The sequence below is a fragment of the Homo sapiens genome, chromosome 6 (genome assembly GCF_000001405.40).
Source record: "Homo sapiens chromosome 6, GRCh38.p14 Primary Assembly".
NCBI lineage: Eukaryota > Metazoa > Chordata > Mammalia > Primates > Hominidae > Homo > Homo sapiens.
In genome coordinates this window covers 170,604,406-170,626,645 of record NC_000006.12, presented here as the reverse complement: position 1 = coordinate 170,626,645, position 22,240 = coordinate 170,604,406, and the positions used below count along the sequence as shown (strand labels likewise).

General features: G+C 38.9%; 1 long non-coding RNA gene across 1 annotated transcript in view; it reads right to left on the bottom strand.

The window, feature by feature from the left end:
* Positions 1–13,980, bottom strand: part of LOC101929692 (uncharacterized) — a 115,831-nt gene extending 101,851 nt beyond the window's left edge. The window contains exons 1-2 of the long non-coding RNA NR_171670.1: positions 13,946–13,980; positions 12,111–12,322 (exon numbers count right to left, since the gene is read on the bottom strand). This is a non-coding gene — a long non-coding RNA (uncharacterized LOC101929692). The remainder of the gene's footprint in view (positions 1–12,110; positions 12,323–13,945) is intronic.
* Between the last annotated feature and the right edge of the window lie 8,260 nt (positions 13,981–22,240).

Here is a 22,240-nt window from a genome sequence, read left to right as displayed (position 1 = left end):
AAGCCATGGCCTGAGCTGTACCTTGACCCCTTTTAGCTGTGGCTGGAGCAGCTGGGACACAGAGCACCAAGTCCCTAGGCTGTACACAGGCAAACAGCAGAGGGGCCCTGGGCCCAGCCTATGAAACCATTTTTTCCTCCTAGGCCTCTGGGTGTGTGATGGAAGGGGCTGCCACAAAGATCTCTGACATGGCCTGAAGACTTAGCGATTAACATTTGGCTCCTTGTTACTTATGCAAATTTCTGCAGCCAGCTTGAATTTCTCCTCAGAAAATGGATTTTTCTTTTCTATCACAGTGTCGTGCTACAAATTTTCTGAACGTTTATGCTCTGTTTTCCTGTTAAAACTGAGTGCTTTTAACACACCCAAGTCACTCTTGAATGATTTGCTGCTTAGAAATTTCTTCTGCCAGATACCCTAACTCATCTCCCTCAAGTTCAAAGTTCCACAAATCTCTAGGGCAGGGACAAAATGCTGCCAGTCTCTCTCGATAGCAAGAGACACCTTTACTCCAGTTCCCATTGAGTTCCTCATCTCCATCTGAGACCATCTCAGCCTGGATTTCATTGTCTATATCATTATTTGACATTTTAGTCAAAGCCATTCAACAAGTCTCTAGGAAGTTCCAAACTTTCCCACATTTTCCTGTCGTTTTCTGAGCCCTCCAAACTGTTTCAACCCCTGCCTGTTACCCAGTTCCAAAGTCGCTTCCACATTTTTGGGTTATCTTTACAACAGCACCCCACTCTACCAGTACCAATGTACTGTATTAGTCTGTTTTCATGCTGCTGATAAAGACATACCTGAGACTGAGTGATTTATAAAGAAAAAGACACTTAATGGACTCACATTTCCAGGTGGATGGGGAGGCCTCACAATCATGGTGGAAGGCAAAAGGCACATCTCTACATGATGGCAGACAAGACAGAATGAGAGCTGAGTGAAAGGGGAACCCCCTTATAAAATCATCAGCTCTTGTGAGACTTATTCAAGACCACGAGAACAGTATGGGGGAAATACTCCTGTGATTCAGTTATCTCCCGTTGGATCCCTCCCACAAGACACGGAAATTATGGGAGCTACAATTCAAGATGAGATTTGGGTGGGGACACAGCCAAACCATATTGCTGCTGAATAGATCATGTAGACAGGCTCTCAAACTACACGGAGAGCAAGAGAGGCCCACCTTACCACAACATTTCATCCAATCCACTAATAAAACAGGCACATCACTGAAGCCACCTTCAACTCTCCAGACTACCCAGCTGCCAGCTGAATACCACAGATGGCTACAGTTAATACCACACGGAGCAGAATCATGTAGCTAAGCCCTGCTTGCACTAATACAAGTCCACAATTTTTTTTAAGTTTGTTGTTTTAAGCTGCGAAGTTTTGAGGTGGTTTGTGGTACGTGGAATAAGATGTCACTCTAATATAATATAAACTTAAACTATGTGGCATTGGCTTTGGAATCAGACAATGGATAGAACCCAGAAGGATTTCACAAAGACTGTTAGTGAAAAGTGAACAGACTTCAAGGAAAATGACAGCAAAACCTGTAAAAGCATTCTGGGAACTGACAGTAAACACTGAATGGTCCTTAAGGAGACTGAAAACTTGAAAGAGCTTAAGAAGTCTACTGGAAAGGGCTTTAAGGATAATGAGAAAAAATCATCAGTGGAGACTGAGGAAAACGCACCAAAGTCGTATTCTGATGGGAGAGTTAGAAAACGCTTGCCTGGAATGATATAAAAAATAGGAAAAATACTGAAAAAGTTTGTGGATCTGGCTGGGGAGATTTTTGGTGTCAACTAAAGAAAAAAATTAAGCTTTTAAGAAATTAAAGTTAGATTTATTTAGGGGTCTGAGAACAAGAGACTGAGGATTACAGCCTAGGAGAAGTCTTTCAGAGAGGTTCTGTCAGACTGCTCTGGTGAAGGTCTTTAGCCCACAGTTTATATGCAGGCTGTACATATACACCATGGAATACTATGCCGCCATTAAAAAATGATATCATGTCTTTTGCTGGAATGTGGATGGACCTTCTATTATCCTTAGCAAACTAATGCAGGAACAGAAAACCAAATACAGCATACTCTCAGTTATAAGTGGGAGCTAAATGATGAGAACTAATGAACACAAAGAATAAAACAGACCCTGGGGTCTACTTGAGGGTGGAGGGTGAGAAAAGGAAGAGAAGCAGAAAAGATAACTATTGGGTACTAGGTTTAATACCTGGGTGATGAAATAATCTGTACAATAACCCCCTGTGACACCAGTTTACCTATGTAACAAATGCCCCTAAACTTAAAATAAAAGTTAAAAAAAAAGAAAATTAAAATCTCCTTATCATCTACCTGGTAATATGAAAAACACAAATCTTTCATTCATTCCTTTCAACTGATGAGGAAAATGAGGCATCGGGAGTTAGTAAAAGTCCACATTGAGATATGAGACCCACCACTGGCTGGACACAGTGGCTCACACCTGTAATCCCAGCACTTTGGGAGGCCGATGCTGGTGGATCACCTAAGGTCAGGAGTTCGGGACCAGGCTGGCCAACATGGTGAAACCCCCATCTCTACTAAAAATACAAAAATTAGCTGGGTGTGGTGGCAGGCACCTGTAATACCAGCTACTAGGGAGGCTGAGGCAGGAGAATCGCTTGAACCCAGGAGGTGGAGTTTACAGTGAGCCAAAATCACACCATTGCACTCCAGCCTGGGCAACAAGAGCAAGACTCTGTCGGGGAAAAAAAAAAAAAAAAAAAAACCACCACCATCATTTTGCAAGTGTTACCACTATTGTGTGTTAATATTGTAGAAGTATTCCTAATTATGATTTCTTTGTATTCCTAATTGTAATAGCTTTGTATTTGAAAAATTATTGATTCATACTCTATATGTTATTATTTTGTATGCGATGACAACAGAATATATTATCATGCTCCTTTTGTGAATCTCATTCATAATATAAAGTATAAATTTGTGATTTTGCTTTAATTTGAAATATTAATTTCAAATATGTTATCACAATTTGATACAAACTATTGACAGTAAATCTGTGGATTAAGTAATGTCTTAGTAGGTATTGGGAAAATTTGAAACTAGTAACATGGAGGACTATTGTCATTGTTTATTTCAAAGCCAGTTAAAATTCTGCAAAGCAGCGTACATAAAAATAATTTCAAGAAATTTATAAAATACCGAGATTATGGTGTATAAACAACTTTAGATTCTTTGTTTAAGAAATTCTGCCAGTTTGTAATATATGCTTCATTCAATGCAGCTAAGGGCTGTACCTGGCTAATAGTAGGCACCTAATATTTGTTGAAAAGGAATACTGAGTAGCTGGGACCTCCTGAGTAGCTGGGACCACACACATTTAACCTGTATTTATAAAATTACTGTTTAGAGAATAACATTTGATGGAATCATGCTTTTACTTTGTGCTTATGACTCAATTGTTTGTACTGACATTAACATCCCAAATCCTTAGCATGGCCTACAAGGCCCTGAGCAATGTGGCACCTGCTGAAGCCTGCTGCCTCATTTAATAACTCTTTGTCTCTTTCCCAGATCCAGCCACTCTAACATTTTTTAGCTCCTGGACCAAGACAAGCTCTTCCCAGAACCTGACCTTTGTACCTGTTCTTTATTCCTGGAGTATTTTTCCCCTGACAAATTACTTATCATCTATCATAATTCAGGTTAAATGGCACTAACTCAGGGAAGGCTTCCCTAACTGCCTCCCTTCTCCAACCAAATTAGGAACAATTATATGGCCACATAGTATCGAATCAAGTTTATAATTTTAAAATAATTGGGAGATTTTGTTGTTTAACACTTGTTTTCACTATAAGACTGTAATTACATGCAAGTAAGAACCATGCCTGTTTGTTCACTCCTGCCACAGTCAGAATAGTGCCTGGAATATGCAGTAAGGGCTGAACAAGCACTAAATAAATGAACAAGTGAATAAATGGATATTGTCTCATTTTTAGAACAGAGTACTGAATGGATCATGAACACTATCTGGTATGTCACGTAGGTAATTTACAAGGGCTACACTTTCAGCTCAGATTTACCTTTTCCTGGATACAGGTCTTGATAGGTCTCTTGATGTCATTTCACTTCAGATTCTTCTTTAGAAAACTTGGACAATAGCATTTGCTGTCTTGTCCAAATTGTTACTAAGAATCAAGAGAGATATCTGACATGAAATGACATTGGAAAACATTAAACACCATTGAAATAATGCTAGCCAATATGGTTATTATTAGAAACCAATTACATTTTCAACTTAAAAATAGTAATACTTATTGCAGACTCAAATGTGCTTATTCTAAAACAAGTAAATGTTTGCCTATGGTCTGAGATTCTAATCCACGGAGTTCATTCTAATCCACATTCAACACTATCATGTACCAGTGGGCCTCATAACCCACCTAGCCCTGTGATTTTTCAGGTTCACTTTTCTAAACTTGTGAATTAAATATTTATTTTCTTAGTTCAGAAGAGGAAAAAAACTCTTGTAATTGTTGCCCATTTCAGGAGAAATCTTGCATATGAAAACAAGAGATAAATATACACAACTGAGGGCTGTGGTTTAAACAAAATCTTGAGAATGTTTTTTGACCTTATACATTTGTGCTTTAGTATAACAAAATGATATAGACAAAGGTAACTTTTAATAGAACCAGTCACTAAATTAAAAAAATGACAAATTCTTCTGCTTAGCTAAGCAACAGAGAAGGTAAAATACTAATTCAATTCATCAATTTAAGCAATACTCATTAAGAGCCAAGTATGTGCTTACTGAATAAGCTGCTAAGGTTTGGTGGTTACAGAGTGTGCGGTGAAATGATGTCTACATCACAGTCCAACATTCACAGAGTTTAAAAGCCTACCAAGAATCAAGACAGACACAAATACCTAACATAGACGTTTGTATATGATAAGAGAGCCAGAGTACAATTTAGGAGAAGAAATTGTATGGAAGGAAGGTTCATTTCCATTAGACCAGAAAAGACAGCACATTTGAAGGCCTGAATAAGAAATATTCTGGATAAGATACTGTGGCTGCTACCAGAATGGCTCTTGATGATCTCTACCTCTTGGTATTTATACCCTTATATAATCTCTTTCCTATAGTGTAAGCTGGTCCCAGGTACTTGTTTCTATTGAATAGAATAGAACAAAAGAAATGAGATGCCACTTCTGAGATTAGATTATAAGATACTGTGAATTTCTTCTTGTGCCCTCTCCCTCTCTCTCTTTCTCTTGCCCTCTCATTTGAATGAAGCCAACTGGCATGCTGTCAGTGGCCCAGTGTAAGTCCTGTTACAAGAAATTGATGATTACCTGTAGCCAACCCTAAGTGAAGAACTGAGGTCCTCAGTCCTACAAATGGAGAGAAACTGAATCTAGCTAAGAACCATGTGAGTGAGCTGGGAAGAAGATCCACCCTCAGTTGAAATTTAAGATGACATATTGAGCAGACATACTGAGACACACTGAAAGTAAGAGAGCAGGAGGAAACAAAACCAGGGTCATACAAAGAACACAACTGATTTTGAGATTCTCACATAAGTATTACACCTTCAGTGAGCACGTGTACTAGAAATTTAAAAAATAAATAAAATAAACCTTCAAAGTGAGCTAGCAAATAAATTTCCCTATGGTCTCAGCTCTGAGTGGAGAGAGAAAATGTTCCCTGTGGAGTTTATAGCCAGAATCCAGCTCTCAAACAGGTTTCAGCCTGAACTCACACAATCTGTGTGGCTTCCAAATTTGCAAGCTGAGAATTTAATTCAAAGTGGTCTCAGGTTGATAGCAGTCCAAAATGCTAGGTAGGAAAAAAAATCCTCTCTGGACAAATAAATCATCAAAGCAAGCTCATAAGAGCAGGTTTCAAAGGTCATGAGCTTCTAACACACACACAAAAATCACACACACAAAATGGGGGTAGCAGCAACATGGGTAGCATATTCAAACTTGAAAAGACTTTAAATATTTGTATTATTAGATGTAGATTATGAAACACATATTTTAATGTGGTTAATTTTTTTAAGGAATCAAAACTATGAGTAAAGACCAAGAAAATTGTGCTGGATGGCCACTTCCACCATGGCTCCCCTCCTATTTAAGTCTGGGTACTGTGTCACCCGAAGTCTTCAGGCACATTGTTCCAGGTTTGGGTTTGCCTATGAAAGAAACTCATGAGAGCTGGAAGTGAGGAGTGAAGAGGAGGTCTTCACATAAAGCAGGCTTAAGGATTAGACATAGCAGGTTTGACAGATGTGATGGCTTGCAGAATCCTTTATGAGCTCCCACTGTCCATCTGGATAAGATTTACAGACCTTTCAGAAATTCCTATAAGCTTGGGTTCTGTGCCCACACTCTAGACTGTCAGGCTAAGATCTCTGATATAAAACAGACCTCTTCTGATTTTTGTCTAGCTGCTTTTCTAATATCTATTCACCAAGCTCTTCCAATAATAGCATAAGGCCCTAATTAATATTAAACTTTTATCATTATAATACATAGGATGTCTTCTGTTTTCCTGATCAAATTCTGACTACTATTAAAATATAAAGAATTGTCCAGAAATATATAAAAAAAGAATCACACATTGATCTTCTTTAAATGAAAATATAACAATTGTATGGACTAGGATGATTACAGTTGTTCAGTTCTGACTGTTATTTGAAGAAAAAAGCAATAAGAAGCCTCAGCAACTTAACAGAAGGAGCTGCCATTTACTAGGAGAAAAGATTGTGGATGAGAGTGTAGCAAAGGTCAGAATTCTGTGAAGCTTGAGATGTTTATTATAATGAATTATCTTTTATACTCACTACAATTTCCTAACAATTTTGGGGTTTATATTTTTGAAAGAGATATACCTTTAATTTTCTTTCTTTGTACTATTGTTAGGTAACTTTGATGTGCAGATTATACTACAGTGAAAGTTGCCAATGACAAGGCAAAGTCACTTACATCAGACCCAAAGCAAAGTGGAGCCGGGTCATGAAAAAGGGGATCTTGTGTGTCTGTCCACGATAAGCACTATCACAAGGACTTTCTATAAACTCACAAGAAATTTCTGCCCACCCAGCACACTCTGTTTGTCCAGCTCATCCTGTAGGTGTCTCTATAATAGGACCTATCATAAAAAATTCCTCAAGACTGCAGCATTTCAGATAAGCCACCCTCACAAGAACACTTGCCTAGCAATGGCTGTTTCTGCCAGTAAGTTAACACCAGCTCCTGCATCAGACCCTGTGACCAATGATGTTTGTTTCAAAACAGCTTGCATGGACTTCTTTTTGTCTTTACATATTTTCCTTACCTCAACCTCTTGGGATGCACCTATGATTGATCATAGCACAAATATCTCAGATTATAATCCTTGTTTATTTCCAAATAAATTTATTTCTTTGGAGATCCACTTTTTCTGTTATTATACATTGACATTGTTATTATGAAATTGGTTGGGTGATGTGTCTTATTTTCTTGTCTCCAGAAGAATTTCTGTAACAGTGCAATTAAACGTTCTTTGCATGTTTGCTAGAACTCACCTGTAAAATTGTCTGAGCAACCAAAGCCTGGTTTTTGTGTTTAGTTTTTCTTTTGTGATTGGGGAGGGGGGTTTATCGTACTGATTCAAGGTGTGAAGGTAACATCATTTTGATTTTATACATCTTCTTCAGTCCATTTAAGCATGTTACATAGCGTTGTTTGTTCTTTTCATGATATTCTTTACAGTAGTCTCCTAAATGTTCCCTCTGCTTCTGCCATGAGCCCCTACAATCTATTTCAACTCAGAAGCTATAGAGTTTGTTTAAAACATGTAACATATTATGCCACCTTTCTTACTGTAAAACATCCCATGGTTTCTCGTAGTATTTATAGTAAAAGTGAAATTTTTATGATGGCTTGAGAAACTTTTCCCATTAGATGCCCAAGTGCTGGTCTGGTCTGATCTTCTCATCTTCCCTTGGGTGATTCTGTGGCAGTCACACTAGCCTCCTTGCTGCTCCACAAAAACTCCAGCATGATCCTACTTCAGGATATTTGCCATTGTTACTGCATCTGCCTGGAACCTTTTCTCCCATATAAACATAGAGATTGCTCTTGCCTGTCCTTCAAGTCTATTCTTAAATGTCCCATTCTCTGTGAAGCTTTCCTGCCCACCCTATTTAAATTACAGACTTCACTCCCAATTCCCCATCTACTTTAAGAGTCTTCCTTTATCATTCCTTGACAAACTGTAAATATACATGTTCACTTTTTTATCGTCTGTCTCCAAATACTGGAATGTTAAGTTCTGTAATGTCAGATATTTCTGTTTGGTTCACTGGTGTATTCTTAAAGCATGTTACATACTAGGTATACTCAATGAATATTTGTTGAATAAATATCACATTGGGCTTATTCCAGAAATTCAAGCTTGTTTCAATAGTTAGAGCAATCTACAAATGTAATTCATTACATTAACTAATTAAAGGAGCTAAATCACATCACCACCACAATAATGCAGAAAACCACATTTGATACAACTCAATATTCATGTCTGCCTAACAAACATCTCATGATACTAGGAAAAGAGGAAGGGATATATTATTTTCATGTATAAAGCACTAACCATTGTAGCATGCCAATATACTCAAAATTCAATGAAATTCCTATCAAAATCTTAGCATTCCTCTTAGTCCTCAACAAAGCATTTCTAAAATGTGTATAGAAGACCAAAGGGCCAAAAGAGTCAACTTCTGAAGAAGCGCAAAAAGAAAGTTGAGGAAATCTTAAAACATGTTATTGAGCTTAAAGTTGCAAAAATAAACTCATGTACCATAATTCATGAGTAGAAAAATAGACTAGTGGAATAACATAAAAATAAAAACAATGCTTACATAAAATGTTGTAACTGATTTGGATGTCATTAGAAATCAGTAAGTAAATAGATGGACAATGTAATGAAAGATGCTAGGCAAATAATGTGGTAGGGAGAATAATGGCCCTCAAAGATGCCCATGCCTAACCCTGGAACCTGTGAATATGTTACACTGAATGCAATAAAGGCTTATCAGATGTGATTAAGGATGCAAACCGAGATGGAGAGATCTTCCTGGGTTACCCAGATGGGCCCAGTCTAATCACATGAGTTCTTAAAAATGGAGAACCTTTCTTAGCTGAGTCCAGAGAGAGATGTGACAATGAAAGAATGGTCAGAGAAATGTGACATTGCCAGCTTTAAAAAGAGAGAGGAGAGGCAATGAGAAAAGGAATGCTGATGTTCTCTAGAAGATAGAAAAGGCCAGGATATGGATTCTACCCTAGCCACCATAAAGAAACATGCCTGTCGACAACTTGATTTTAGTTCACTAAAATTCATGCCTGATTTCTGACTTGTGTACACTGTAAGATGACAAGTTTGTGTTATTTTAGGTCACTTAGTTTGTAGAAATTTGTTACAGCAGTAATAGAACAAGTGGTTATCCATATGAGGCAAATTAGATTGGATACCTATCTCCAATAGAAATCAATTCAAGGTGAATTCCAGGAAAATACTTAAAACATTTAGATTAAAAATAAATGAGAATTTTTGTTACTTTTGGTAGGTCATAGAACCAAGAAAAACAAACATTAAGGAGGAAAAATGAACATATGACTACATCAAAATATAAAGCTTCTCTATTTGGAAGATATCATAAGGTGACAAATCATAAACTGTAATATTTACAACATATATATAAGTGAATAAATATACATTTAGAATATATATGAACTCCCAAAAATCAACAGGAAAAATAAGACATAGAACAAGCAAAATGCATAAACAAAAGAAGGCAAAACAAAAATAATGACTCATAATTATATGAAAAGAAGCTCATCTTCATAGATGAGCAGATAAATGCAAATTAAAACCACCCTGAGATGCTTTTTACATCCATGAGCCTGATAAAAGTTAGAGTCTAAAAGTAATAATTAACAAAGATGGGAAGTAACAGAAAATCTTGTCCATTACTGGTTAAAGTATAAACTGATACAGCTACTTTATAGAATATTACATTATAGAATAAAGTTGTGAGTATGTATATGCAGTGACTCAGCATATTCATTGCTAGTATGTACTCAAGAGAAACTTACAGGAGTGGACTAGGAAGTAAATACAAAATGATTACAACATTGTTTGTTATATCAAAAAATAAAAAAGACACCCAATTTTCCAGCAAAAAAAAATAAGTAAAAATAAATCCTGGTGTATTCTAACAATGGAATAATATATAGCCATTAAAATAAATCAACCATTACTGTACATATGAATGTAAGTATCAGCAAAACATATTGTTTAGTGAAAAACTAAGAAGCTGAAGAAGAATATATACAATATGGTTACATTTATATGAAGTCCAAAAACTTGCAAAATAATGTATTTAGAAATAGATTCACATGTGAGAAAACTAGAAGAAAATTAATGAAAGGATAAGAGGGATAGCAGTAATTCTGAGTAGTTGAGGGAATTTCAATTGGAAAAAAATAATATCATATTCTTTAAGTCAGGTAGTGGGTATTAGCATTTGTTTTACCATCGTTCTTTATTCTTATAGCTACACTATATATTTTCAATGTATTTAATGTATTTTTTGCATAATTAAATATTATGCAATAAAAATGAGAAAACAAAAAAGTAGAAAATGATAAATTACAATAAAGAAATGGAGAAAAAATTATAATCTAGTTGAGTAATGGTATATTACATAGCTATTTTCTTAAGTAGATGTATGTACATGATGTATGCACGATTGTACATACATGTTCTTAATTATATATAAATATATATGTACATATTTTTAATATAAAATACTAAACAAAGTACACCAAAATATTAGCTCCTATGTTAGTGAGATAATGTTTTGTTTTTTTGTATTTTAAGTTTTACATAGTAGGTGTATTTTTCTGTTTTCATACTGCTATAAATAACTGCCCAAGACTGGGTAATTTATAAAGGAAAGAAGTTTAATTGGCTCACAGTTCAGCACAGCTTGGGAGGCCTCAGGAAATCTACAATCATGGCGGAAGACAAAGAGGAAGCAAGCCAGCTTCTTCGCAAGGCAGCATGAAGAAGTGCCGAGCAAAGGGGAAAGAATCCCTTATAAAACCATCAAATCTCGTGAGAACTCACTATCACAAGAACAGCACAGGGGAAACTGCCCCCATGATTCAATTACCTCCACCTGGTCTCTCCCTTGACCTGTGGGGATTATGGGGGCTATGGGGATTACAATTCAAGACGAGATTCAGGTGGGGATACAAAGCCTAACCATATCAGTAGGCATGTATTGAATTTTAAACTCAGAGAAAAATACTAGTGTTTTTATAGGATTCTTACTAAAGAAAAACCAGAAAGTAGTAAACCATCTACGCTAAGACATAAAATTCAGTTGTTTAGTTACAAGATAGAATGTGGCCTTGTAAGAAAGCAAATTAACTTCTAACATACAAAGCCTTAGAGAAGATTCAAGTGACTGACGGATCTTAAACAGAGCTATTATTACAACTCGAACTGCAGTAAAATATCCTCAGCAACATAGATGTGTGTGTTTCACTAGTCAGAGCAATACAAATTTAATGAAACTCCATTGGTGGTGTTTTTAATCAGACAATTTCTGAAGATGTCCTGGCTTATTCACAGATGCAAGCCAAATCTCTAGAAGAGTACCATAATAAGAAAAAAAAGAATACAGGCAATTGAGAGCTGTTCCAAAGTTTAGGGAGTTTTTGTAAGGAATTAATAAATAAAAATGTTCTTGAAAGACAGAAATTAATATGCAGTTCATACTGCCAGAATTGCAGGCAATTTATCAAAGTCCCCTAATCCTCCAAAATCGCTATTTTTTTTTTTGACACACACTTTACAGTACAGAAGAAAATGTCTCCGGCAATAAATCACAAAGTTAAAATTACCTAGTCTACAATTAACTACACAGTGATGGTAAATCATTTTCTACCAAAAGAAAGAAATGTCTTGTCTATTCAGGTTCTGCTCTACTTAAAAGTTTTCCTTGTTGGCGAGCAAGTGGTTAGAAAATCATATTTTATACGTACATTCAGCTTAACTATCATTCAGCTCAGGAAGATGACTCAGGGCCTTATCCATACCTTCAAGTTTGCTCTTAGCAAGTAATTGTTTCAGTATCTATATCAAAAATGGCTTAAGCCTGCAACATGTTTCTGAATGATTAACAAGGTGATAGTCAGTTCTTCATTGAATCCTGGATGCTTTATTTTTCTTAATAAGAGGAATTCATATGGATCAGCTAGAAAAAAATTAAGAGGAAAATCACATGGAAAGTTATATATTATATATCTATTATATATAATATTATATATCTATTATATATAATATTATATATCTATTATATATTATATATTGTATATCTATTACATATATAATATTATATATGTATTATATATATTATATATTATATATCTATTATATATATAATATTATATATTATATATCATTTCCAAATTCCCCAGCGTTCATATTTGTCAGTGCAAGTAAAGAGCCTTAGTGCTGATGAGGTTTGAGGTATGACCATTTGGCCAGAATTTATGAACTCTACATGTCGCTTGATGTGTGCTTCAGGGTACACTTTTTTTTTTTTTTTTTTGAGACGGAGTCTTGCTCTGTCGCCCAGGCTGGAGTGCAGCGGTGCGATCTCAGCTCACCGCAAGCTCCGTCTCCCGGGTTCACGCCATTCTCCTGCCTGAGCCTCCTGAGTAGCTGGGACTACAGGCGCCCGCCACTATGCCCTGCTAATTTTTTGTATTTTTAGTACAGACGGGGTTTCACCGTGTTAGCCAGGATGGTCTCGATCTCCTGACCTCGTGATCCACCCGCCTCGGCCTCCCAAAGTGCTGGAATTACAGGTGTGAGCCACCACGCCCGGCCAGGGTACACTTTTAAGCAGAGACACTACTTTGAAGGTCATAAAAAATATAATAAGAGATAAGGCTAATTTCCTTTAATAATAATAAAATCCTTTAATAAAAATATAAAGGAATAATATAATAATTTTCTTTAATAAAATATAAAAAGAGATAAGGCTAATTTCCTTTAATAAAATATAGTAACTACATACCAACAGAATTCCAAAAAAAGAAATGGAGAGGAAGGGAGCATGGGTCATTAATCTTGTCAAAAATATAAAATTATATACGAGGAATTTTTAGAAACTGTTTTCCTTGTCTGCGGCCATTGTGCTGCTGCTACACAACTACCGCAAGCAGCCCTTCACGCCCTCCTCCCAGTACAAAGCTAATTGACTTGTGAGAAATGTTAAGCTTGGAAGAGTCAGCATCGCTGCACTTATTTTTTATTCTACTCTGACATTAGAATAATCCTTGAGTGGGGGAAAGGTTAAAAACCCCCCTGGATAAGTGTTACTAATTAATGATGATTGTTTTAAACAATGTTTGGATAATTTTTCCTTGTCCCTTGACATAAACTTGATAAATAACTGAGAAGTGAGAAGGAGATTAGTGGGTTGATTAAATTCCATTCAGGTACTTAAAGTTAGCTCCAAAAATTTAGCTATTTGTAAATTGTCATGCATTGTTAATGTATAAGAGATGTAGATTTCATTTATCTTTGGTGGAGCGAGATGAAGCAGTGAATCATTGAAGACTGAAAGAAAGAAAAAGGTCTTTTCCCTTTTCTTTAAGAAGCATCATTAGTTAAAAACATGTTAGTTGATACCAGAGAACTATATTTAAAGGGACAGCAATAAGCAAATTGATTACTCTGGTGATTATTGGAGTGACATTGCCTTTTAGTTGTACTTTCACAAAAATTCACAATATTTGCCAAAGTCAAGTTATCCATTACACTATTAATTTGTCATTCTTTTGTTTATATAGTCAATATCTCTATTGACCTGCCAGTGTCTCCGCCGGTTGAAAGCGCGTGTCTGCGTCGGGTTCTGTTGGAGTGCGTTCGGTGTGCCGTGGGTCCGCGCTGCTTCCACCCAACTTCCTGTTAGGTAAGAGGCGCGTGAGGCTCCTGTGCCGGGGGCGGTGCTGCTCCCGAGTCGGCGCGCGGCGGGGACGCGAGTCCGTAGGTGCTGGCGGGAGCGAGAGTGGGGTGGGGACCCTCGCGAGCCCGCACTCCGCCTCTGGGTAGCAGCCTCTTCGGCCCCACACGGCGTGACGCGCGCTCGGGCTCCGCGTTCGCGTCGAGGCAGAGGCGTAGTAGGGGTCGGGCCCAGGGCTGGAGGGGCCGGGACCGGGCGGGGTGCCGCCCTGGACACCGCGCCGGCAGCTGTTCCGCGCGGGTTCATGTCATTCCTATTTTCAACCTGTCCTGCTCCGCACCTGAGATGATTTATAAATTCGGTACCTTTGGGACAGGCGTGGATGACATCCCATAATTTACTTCGTTATTAATTTCTAAATGTAATACATACCACTCTCTAAAAGTATTTTTTAATTTGAAATATATTTGTATATATGTACATATATATTTATTTATTTCTGAATTTTGTCTCCAGTACATATAATGAGGCTTGTAAAGTGGATAAGTGTTCAGGACATAGGTGGATTTTGCTTTTAAGTAGTAAAGACTTAATTGGTGACTTACTGGGGCTATTTGATAAGGTTTTTTTTTTTTTTTTTAATGAACATTAAAAACAGTGAAATTGTATTTCCGGATTTCATTAGCTTCATTTATATCTTAATTGGTGAAAACTGTAAGTTAATAACTCATTTTTATTTCCTTTGGAGATTCTTAAGTTTGTGCTACCAATGATTATTTCCAAAAAAAGGCACACTTCTGGTTTTCCCAGAACTAATGCTAGCTTCTCAATCTTTTGAGTTTACTTGATATTAATGTTTGACCTCAAATCATGTCACATTTTTGAAGAAAACTTTCCCTTAGCCAGTGGAACATAAACCACCCTGGAGTTCATGTAGAGGAGGGGTTCAAATGCCTCTGATAGTGTCGTGTTAAAACTCATGGCCAAACCCAAGGTCACATAGCTTTCTTTCCATGTTTTCCTCTAGAATTTGTATAGTTTTGTCATTATAAAATGGGTCTTGTCCTAGACCCCAAGAATAGGTTTTTGGATTTCACATGGGAAAGACCTTTTGGCAAGTCACAGAGTATAGTGAAGTTAAGATAGTTTATTAGCGACTACTCAGCTACATAGCAGGGCGTCCTCAGAAAGCAAGAGGAGGAATGCACCTGTTGTAAACATATAATTTTTTTTTTGAGACAGAGTTTCTCTCCTGTCACAATGGCATGATCTCGGCTCACTGCGACCTCTGCTTCCTGGGTTCAAGGATTCTCCTGCCTCAGCCTCCCAAGTAGCTGGGATTACAGGTGCATGCCAATATACCCGGCTAATTTTTTTGTATTTTTGGTAGAGACTGGGCTTCACCATGTTGGTCAGGCTGGTCTGGAACTCCTGGCCTCAAGTGATCTGCCTGCCTCGGCTTCCCAAAGTGCTGGGATAACAGGCATGAGCCACCCAGCGCCCGGGCTTAACGTTTGTTTATATAGGTTATTAAGAATCAGTTTGTGACAGGCCATTAGTATTGTTACTTCTCTTTGTTACTGTCGATTTTAACAACAATTTATGTGTGTACTATTACCTTTAAAGTAAAACTTATTTTTAAACTAAGAATGCTTTTTGTTCTTAAAGTTCTGGGACATTTAAATAAGTTTCGTGTCTTTATTAACTTGTTCCCACAATCATAAATATTTTATAACCAAAAGTGCTCAACCCCCTAAATATATAATCCAACAAATTTAACGTGTGTGTGTGTGTGTGTGACAGAGAGAGAGAGAGAGAGAGAGAGAGAGAGAGACAGGGTCTCACTCTGTCGCCCAGGCTGGAGTGCAGTGGTGCGATCATGGCTGGCTCATTGCAGCCTCAAACTTCTGGACTCAAGCAATCCTCCCACTTCAGCCTCCTGGGTAGCTGGGACTACAGGTACGTGCAAGCATGCCATCTAATTTTTTTTTTTTTTTTTTTTTGTAGACACAAGGGTCTTGCTATTTGCCCAAGCTGGTCTTGAACTCCTGATCTCAAGTGATCCACCCGCCTTGGCCCTTCATGTGGAAAATTAGAAACCAAAATCCCCTGTGAATCCAGCGCACTCGAGGTTCATTCTCCACACCCAAGGCGAGGCAGCCACAGGGCCAAGCTGCGGTCTTGGAACAGAAATGTAGCGTCAGGAAAGCAATTAGAACACCCGCCACACTGATAATAACCTCCGTAGTACTAATAACACTGCATCTGTGATGCTAGTGTTAGCACCCGTCGTATGCAGAGAGCACACCCGTCGGGGTAGCTGCCTTCCACATCCAACCCCGGGAACGTGGATGTGTCCCTCAGTGCGCACATAACGCTTGGAACTCGGAGATGACATTGTCACCTAACGCTACACCCGTCACACTCATATAATCCCTGGAACACGCATGTGTCCCTCAGAGCACACACGTAACCCCTGGAACGCCCGTGACACAGTCAGACTCACGCCACACCCGTCACACTCATATAACCCCCGGAACACGCATGTATCTCTCAGAGCGTACATACCGCCCGGGATGCAGACATGGCCTTTGCAGCCCACACGAGAGGGTCTGCAGCTCTGAGGATGGAACCTTCCGGCTCTCGCTGGGGCGCTGAGTTGACAGCCTCTGCTGGGCTGGGTTTGGGCTGGATTTGGCCTCTGTCATGAAACTTCATGGTGTTGTCTCTGCCTTACTGACGTGGTATTGCCACGGTTGTTTTAAAAAGTAGTTTACTTCCCAATAATGTCATACTTCTGGGAAACTTGCAACAGCACTTAGTATGCCTTCTCCTTTATCTCCAGTTCCCCAGCTGTTATTGCTGTGCCAGATTTGCAGCTTCACAAAAAATACCCCCGTGTGTTTCACCAAAACCAGGAATACTCCTCCAGGTGATCCCCAAATAACCCCCAATTTAGGAAATACATGGTTTCTATGTGAAAGTCCACTCCACAGACCTATTTCACTTCACTCCCTGCCCTAGGTGGGAGAAAAATGTCTATTTCCATGCGGGCCCAATTTTCCTTCTCGGGAACTGTTCCTGAGACTCAGTTTTCTGTTTTTGTTTTTGTTTTTTTTTGACGGAGTCTCCCTCTGTGACCCAGGCTGGAGTGCAATGGCGCCATCTCTGCTCATTGCAACCTCTGCCTCCCATGTTCAAGATATTCTTCTGTGTCAGCTTCCCGATTAGCTGTAATTACAGGCACCTACCACCACACCCGGCTAATTTTCTGTATTTTTAGTAGAGATGGGGTTTCACCATGTTGGCCAGGCTAGTCTTGAACTCCTGACCTCAGGTGATCCATTCGCCTCGGCATCCCAGAGTGCTGGGATTACAGGCGTGAGCCACTGCATCCGGCCGACTCTCAGTTTTCACAGCCTTAACAGATGTAAAGAGCAGAGATGACTCCAAGCTGGGTCTGCCCAGCGTTTCCTCCTAAACGTGTGCAGATCCTGTGTTCCTGGCAGGAGCATCCTGGCCTGGTGCCACGCTCTCCTCACTGCAGCCCACTTGGAGGGGCACCCATCCATCCCACCACCACTGGCGATCTCACTTGGAAATGGCAAATATTCATTTACAATCACAAATTTCATCCTGTCAAGCTCCGCATTTCACTTTGCCAGTGGTTTTCCCTGGCCTTAGAACCGTGGACTCCAGACCCCGAGTTCTCCTGCCTGCTGCCCTCTCCCATCCAGTCTGCTACAGCTGCCTGCAGTCCCACTCATGGGGACATGGACTCCCAGGTGTCTTGGGGATTTTATGTGGGTTCCCCCAACCCATTCACCCAGTGCTGACCGTAGTTTTTTAAGGCTTTTTCTAGATAAGTCCTTCAAGTCACAGCAGTTACGATATCTAAAAGTAGAAAAGTTAATGTTGATTTTCTAAAGACAAAAAAATAATTCATTATTAGATCGTCTGTGAGATGACCCTCAATTTTTTTATCTTTTTTTTGAGGATAGAGTCTCCCTATGTTACCCAGGCTAGAGTGCAGTGGCACGACCTTGGCTCACCACAGTCTCCACCTCTCGGGTTCAAGCGATTCTCCTGTCTCAGTCTCCTGAGTAGCTGGGACTACAGGCACCTGCCACCATGGCTGGCTATTTTTTGCAGTTTTAGTGGAGATGGGGTTTCACCATGTTTGCCAGGCTGGTCTTGATCCCCTGACCTTCAGTGATCTGCCTGCCTTGGCCTCCCAAAGTGCTGGGATTACAGGCGTGAGCCACCATGCCCAGCTGCCCTCAATTTATAAATCAAGGAAATACTAGTTCTCTGGAACCAAAGTTCATGTTTGAAATAATTAGGAAAGAAAAATAAAATCTCATTGCTGAAAGAAAGGCAAATAGCACAATTGATTATTGAAATTGCAGAAGAGGGCTGGGTGCAGTAGAGTAGATGTATGACATTTTTATTGCAGAATGAATGATGATTGGGGCATCTTAAGAGGAATTCTAGGGTGTTTCTTTCTGCATAGGTACCTCTTCTCCCACCTACCCACAATTGACAAGTGCCCATCCACTCCAGCACTAGAGATGCTACTAATATGTGAATTTTTGGTGGTACCTCCAGGTGAGGCTTCCCAGACTTTCCCTTTTCCAGGAGCTTCCCCCTCCTGTTCATGTCTAGCTATCTATCTACTCTAACAGAGCCCACTATCCTGTGTCTTTCCCAGAAATAGGGAACAGTTAATTGGAAACCATAAGAAATGATATGTGTGTAGATGAAAACTTTACAACTTACACAAATAATCACTCAAAATCATCCTTACACTAAAAATGCAAAACTGTACCATTTCTAGAAGAAACTATAGAAGAAAAGCTATGTGCCTTTGGGTTTGGTAATGAATTTTAACAAATGACACAAAAGGTTGATATACACAGAAGAAATGACAATGTGGATTTCTTAATATTTAAAGTTTATACTCTGGAAGAGACCTTGTTAAGAGAACAAAAAGACAAGCCACATATTGAAGAAAATATTTGCAAAATACAGATCTGAGAAAGAATTTGTATTCAAAATATATAAAAAAATCTTAAAACTAAACAATAAGTTAAACAACCCAATTGAAAATGCACACAGATCTGAACAGAACCTCACCAAAGAAGATCTACAGATGGCAAGTAAACATACAAAAAGATGCTCAACATACTAGAGAACCGAAAACCACAGTGAGATAGCACAGCTGGTGTATAGCTCTTAGAACTGCTAAACTACAAAATGACAAATTGCTGGAGGAAAAACAAGAACTCTTTTCATTGCCGGTGGAACACAGTGTATAAGACCAAAATATGCCACCCCAAAATATAATGGTAGGAAACCAGAATATGCCACCACAAAATATGTCCCTTTGGCTTAAGAATTATTCCAAGCTGATTATTTTGAAAAAAAAAAAAATGCTAACGAAGTTGTGAAAACAGAGTAGAAGTTACACTTGTGTAAGGAAAATTTACATCTATAAAGGAAATCACCATTTAAAAGCTACCTCTCTCGACAACAAGAAGAGAAGGATAACTAAATCACTAAAGAGTCTTATCAATGGAGAATGCGTGGACTTAAGTCTGTATAACAAACCTTACCCTTGTCTAATGTGCTTTTGCTGGTTAACTCCCCACTCACCACTGCACCTCAAATCTTCTTTCTTTAAGTTGAAGATAGTATTTATGCTTGAACTGAAAGCCACCTGTTGGAGATTTACTCATTTTTCCCTGAGTATCTCCCATGTATCCATAAGGTATACGTGTTTTTAAACTTTTCTGTTTTTCTCATTTTAATCTGTCAGTTTTTACAGAGGGTCCCATCTAAGAATTCCAAAAACATAGAAAATTTTTTTCCTCCCCATTACAAGTTGGGCAGTTTTTTCTAAAGCTAAACAAGTCTCACCTTACAATCCAAAAATCACATTCCTAAGTATTTTGACAACTACTTTGATGTTATTTCCAAACAAAAGCTACCATGCAATTATTTACAGAAGCCCTATTCATAATGACCAAAGGAAAAAAAAGGAATCAGAAAGTCTTACAATAGATGACTGTGTGGGACTCCACTCAGACATCAAAAGTTGTTATAAAGATTATTTAAATGAAAACATTTGAGATACTGAAGATAAAGGAAGAAATCTTACCAGAACTTACTTTATCCAATTAAAGCCAAGGTCACAGAAAAATACAGCTGCCATTAACCCCATCCAAGGAGTTTCTTGCGAATTCAGCTGCCATGGAGACAGCGTACCCTTTCCCATTAGCAATGATAAATGAAAATGAAATCCTAAGCTCCCAACTGACTGAACAGACCCACTCTTGGCTGAGGGGACCCAAGAGTAACTTTCAAAACTGAGTTCTCAGCTTGGCCAGCATGGGATGATGGGAGTCAGATACACCTTGTTATACCCTCTCCTTTGCTAACCATGATGAGGCTTTCTTCCCTAAGGATTTAACAGAAACCAGCCCTTGAAAAAGACTCCACCACTGATATCAACCAACTGCCTGAAGCCGCCTCTCCTTTCTTGCCTGATAAGAGACCACCCATGACGGAGAGGTTCTGGCCAGCGTACAGAGGATGCACAGAGTGAGTTTTCATGTCCTCTGCTTCACCTTTTAGTGTTAGGGGGCTGAAAACTCCATCCTGGGATCATGCTAACACTGCCAATTTTTGTACATGGGACCCATGAAGGAGCAAGACACTCAATTGCGCATGCACGCATTTCTCCTTTCATAAATATTCATGACTCCTCCTAGAGCTTATTAAATATGTGTATTTGGCCATGCCACTCAGCATAAATTACTGTTTCCTTTAACTCACATTTGAAAATGTCTGTTTCTGGCTTCTGGCTGGAGGCTATACTTCCTAGCCTGTCAGAAGAACTACCCTGCAGGCTGTAACCCTTTATAGGAAATAAATCTCTCATTGGACGCAGTGGCTCATGCCTGTACTCCCAGCACTTTGGGATGCTGAGGTGGGTGGATCATCTAACAGCAGGAGTTGGAGACCAGCCTGGCCAACATGGTGAAACCCTGTCTCTACTAGAAGTACAAAAAATTAGCTGGGCATGGTGGTATGCATCTATAATCTCAGCTAATTGGGAGGCTGAGGCAGGAGAGTCACTTGAACCTGGGAGGTGGAGGTTGCAGTGAGCCAAGATCATGCCATTGCACTCCAGCCTGGGCAACAAGAGTAAAACTCCGTCTCAAAAAAAAAGAATAAAGAAACATAAAAATAAAGAAATCTTTCCTTTCCAAATATATGAACTTCATCACTCTTCAGTTGACAGCATTAAAACGTTCAAAAAGACCTTCCATACTATCCCACAGAAGCCCTAGAAATTGTCATTTTGTTAATCATTTTGGATGCCCGAGAACTTGTAATCAAATGAGTAGAAATGTTGGTACCCCATCTGTGGCTCTCATCCTCCCAGTTCTCAGGAGTTTATATAAGCCTAAATCTGAAAAGGTCTCATCACATAAGGACCCTTGTCTCTTTTTCTGTTGCCTTTATCCACTGGCTCTGGCAACAGGGGTCTTTCTTTCTCCTTGGCTATCTTTGGATATAGGGGCTCCGTCTTCTGTGCCACCTTAGGGAATGCCTTTTGCATGCATGGCTAAGTCATTAAAAAGCCTAAAGTTTGAGTAACATCAAAATGTGAGTACTCTCTGAAGCTGGGTTGGAATCTCAGTCTTCTTTGTCTAGAAGGTAACTCTCAGGCTAGAAGTTTCTTATCCTAGCTTTGGTTTTGAGGCCTCTCTGTTCTCCTCTTGGGTTGGAACTTATTCCTGGATTTTGTTTCATGGTGTCTCTTCCCCTTCCATCAGATCTTGATCTTGCTCCTTTCATGGGAACTTCTCAGTTGACTAAAATCTCCCTTCCCAAACCTCCGCTGACTATGTGTTCCACCAATAAGGAACTAATCCTGTCTACTTCCTTTCCTGTTTGCATGACTTTACTAAGAATTATTTAGAACTTTAATGGCTCCTTTGAGAAAACTTTTATCTCTCAAATTGCCTCTGTTTAGACGTTTCCTTTCCCAGTTGAGTCTCTCAACTCCCTATAATCACTGAAACTTTAGGCACCCCCCTCCAAGCCTTGGAGGCTCTCAACGTGCTCAAGAATCTACAAAAGCAAACACTTGAGCCTGAAAAATAAAATAGAAAAATAATTTTAATTCTC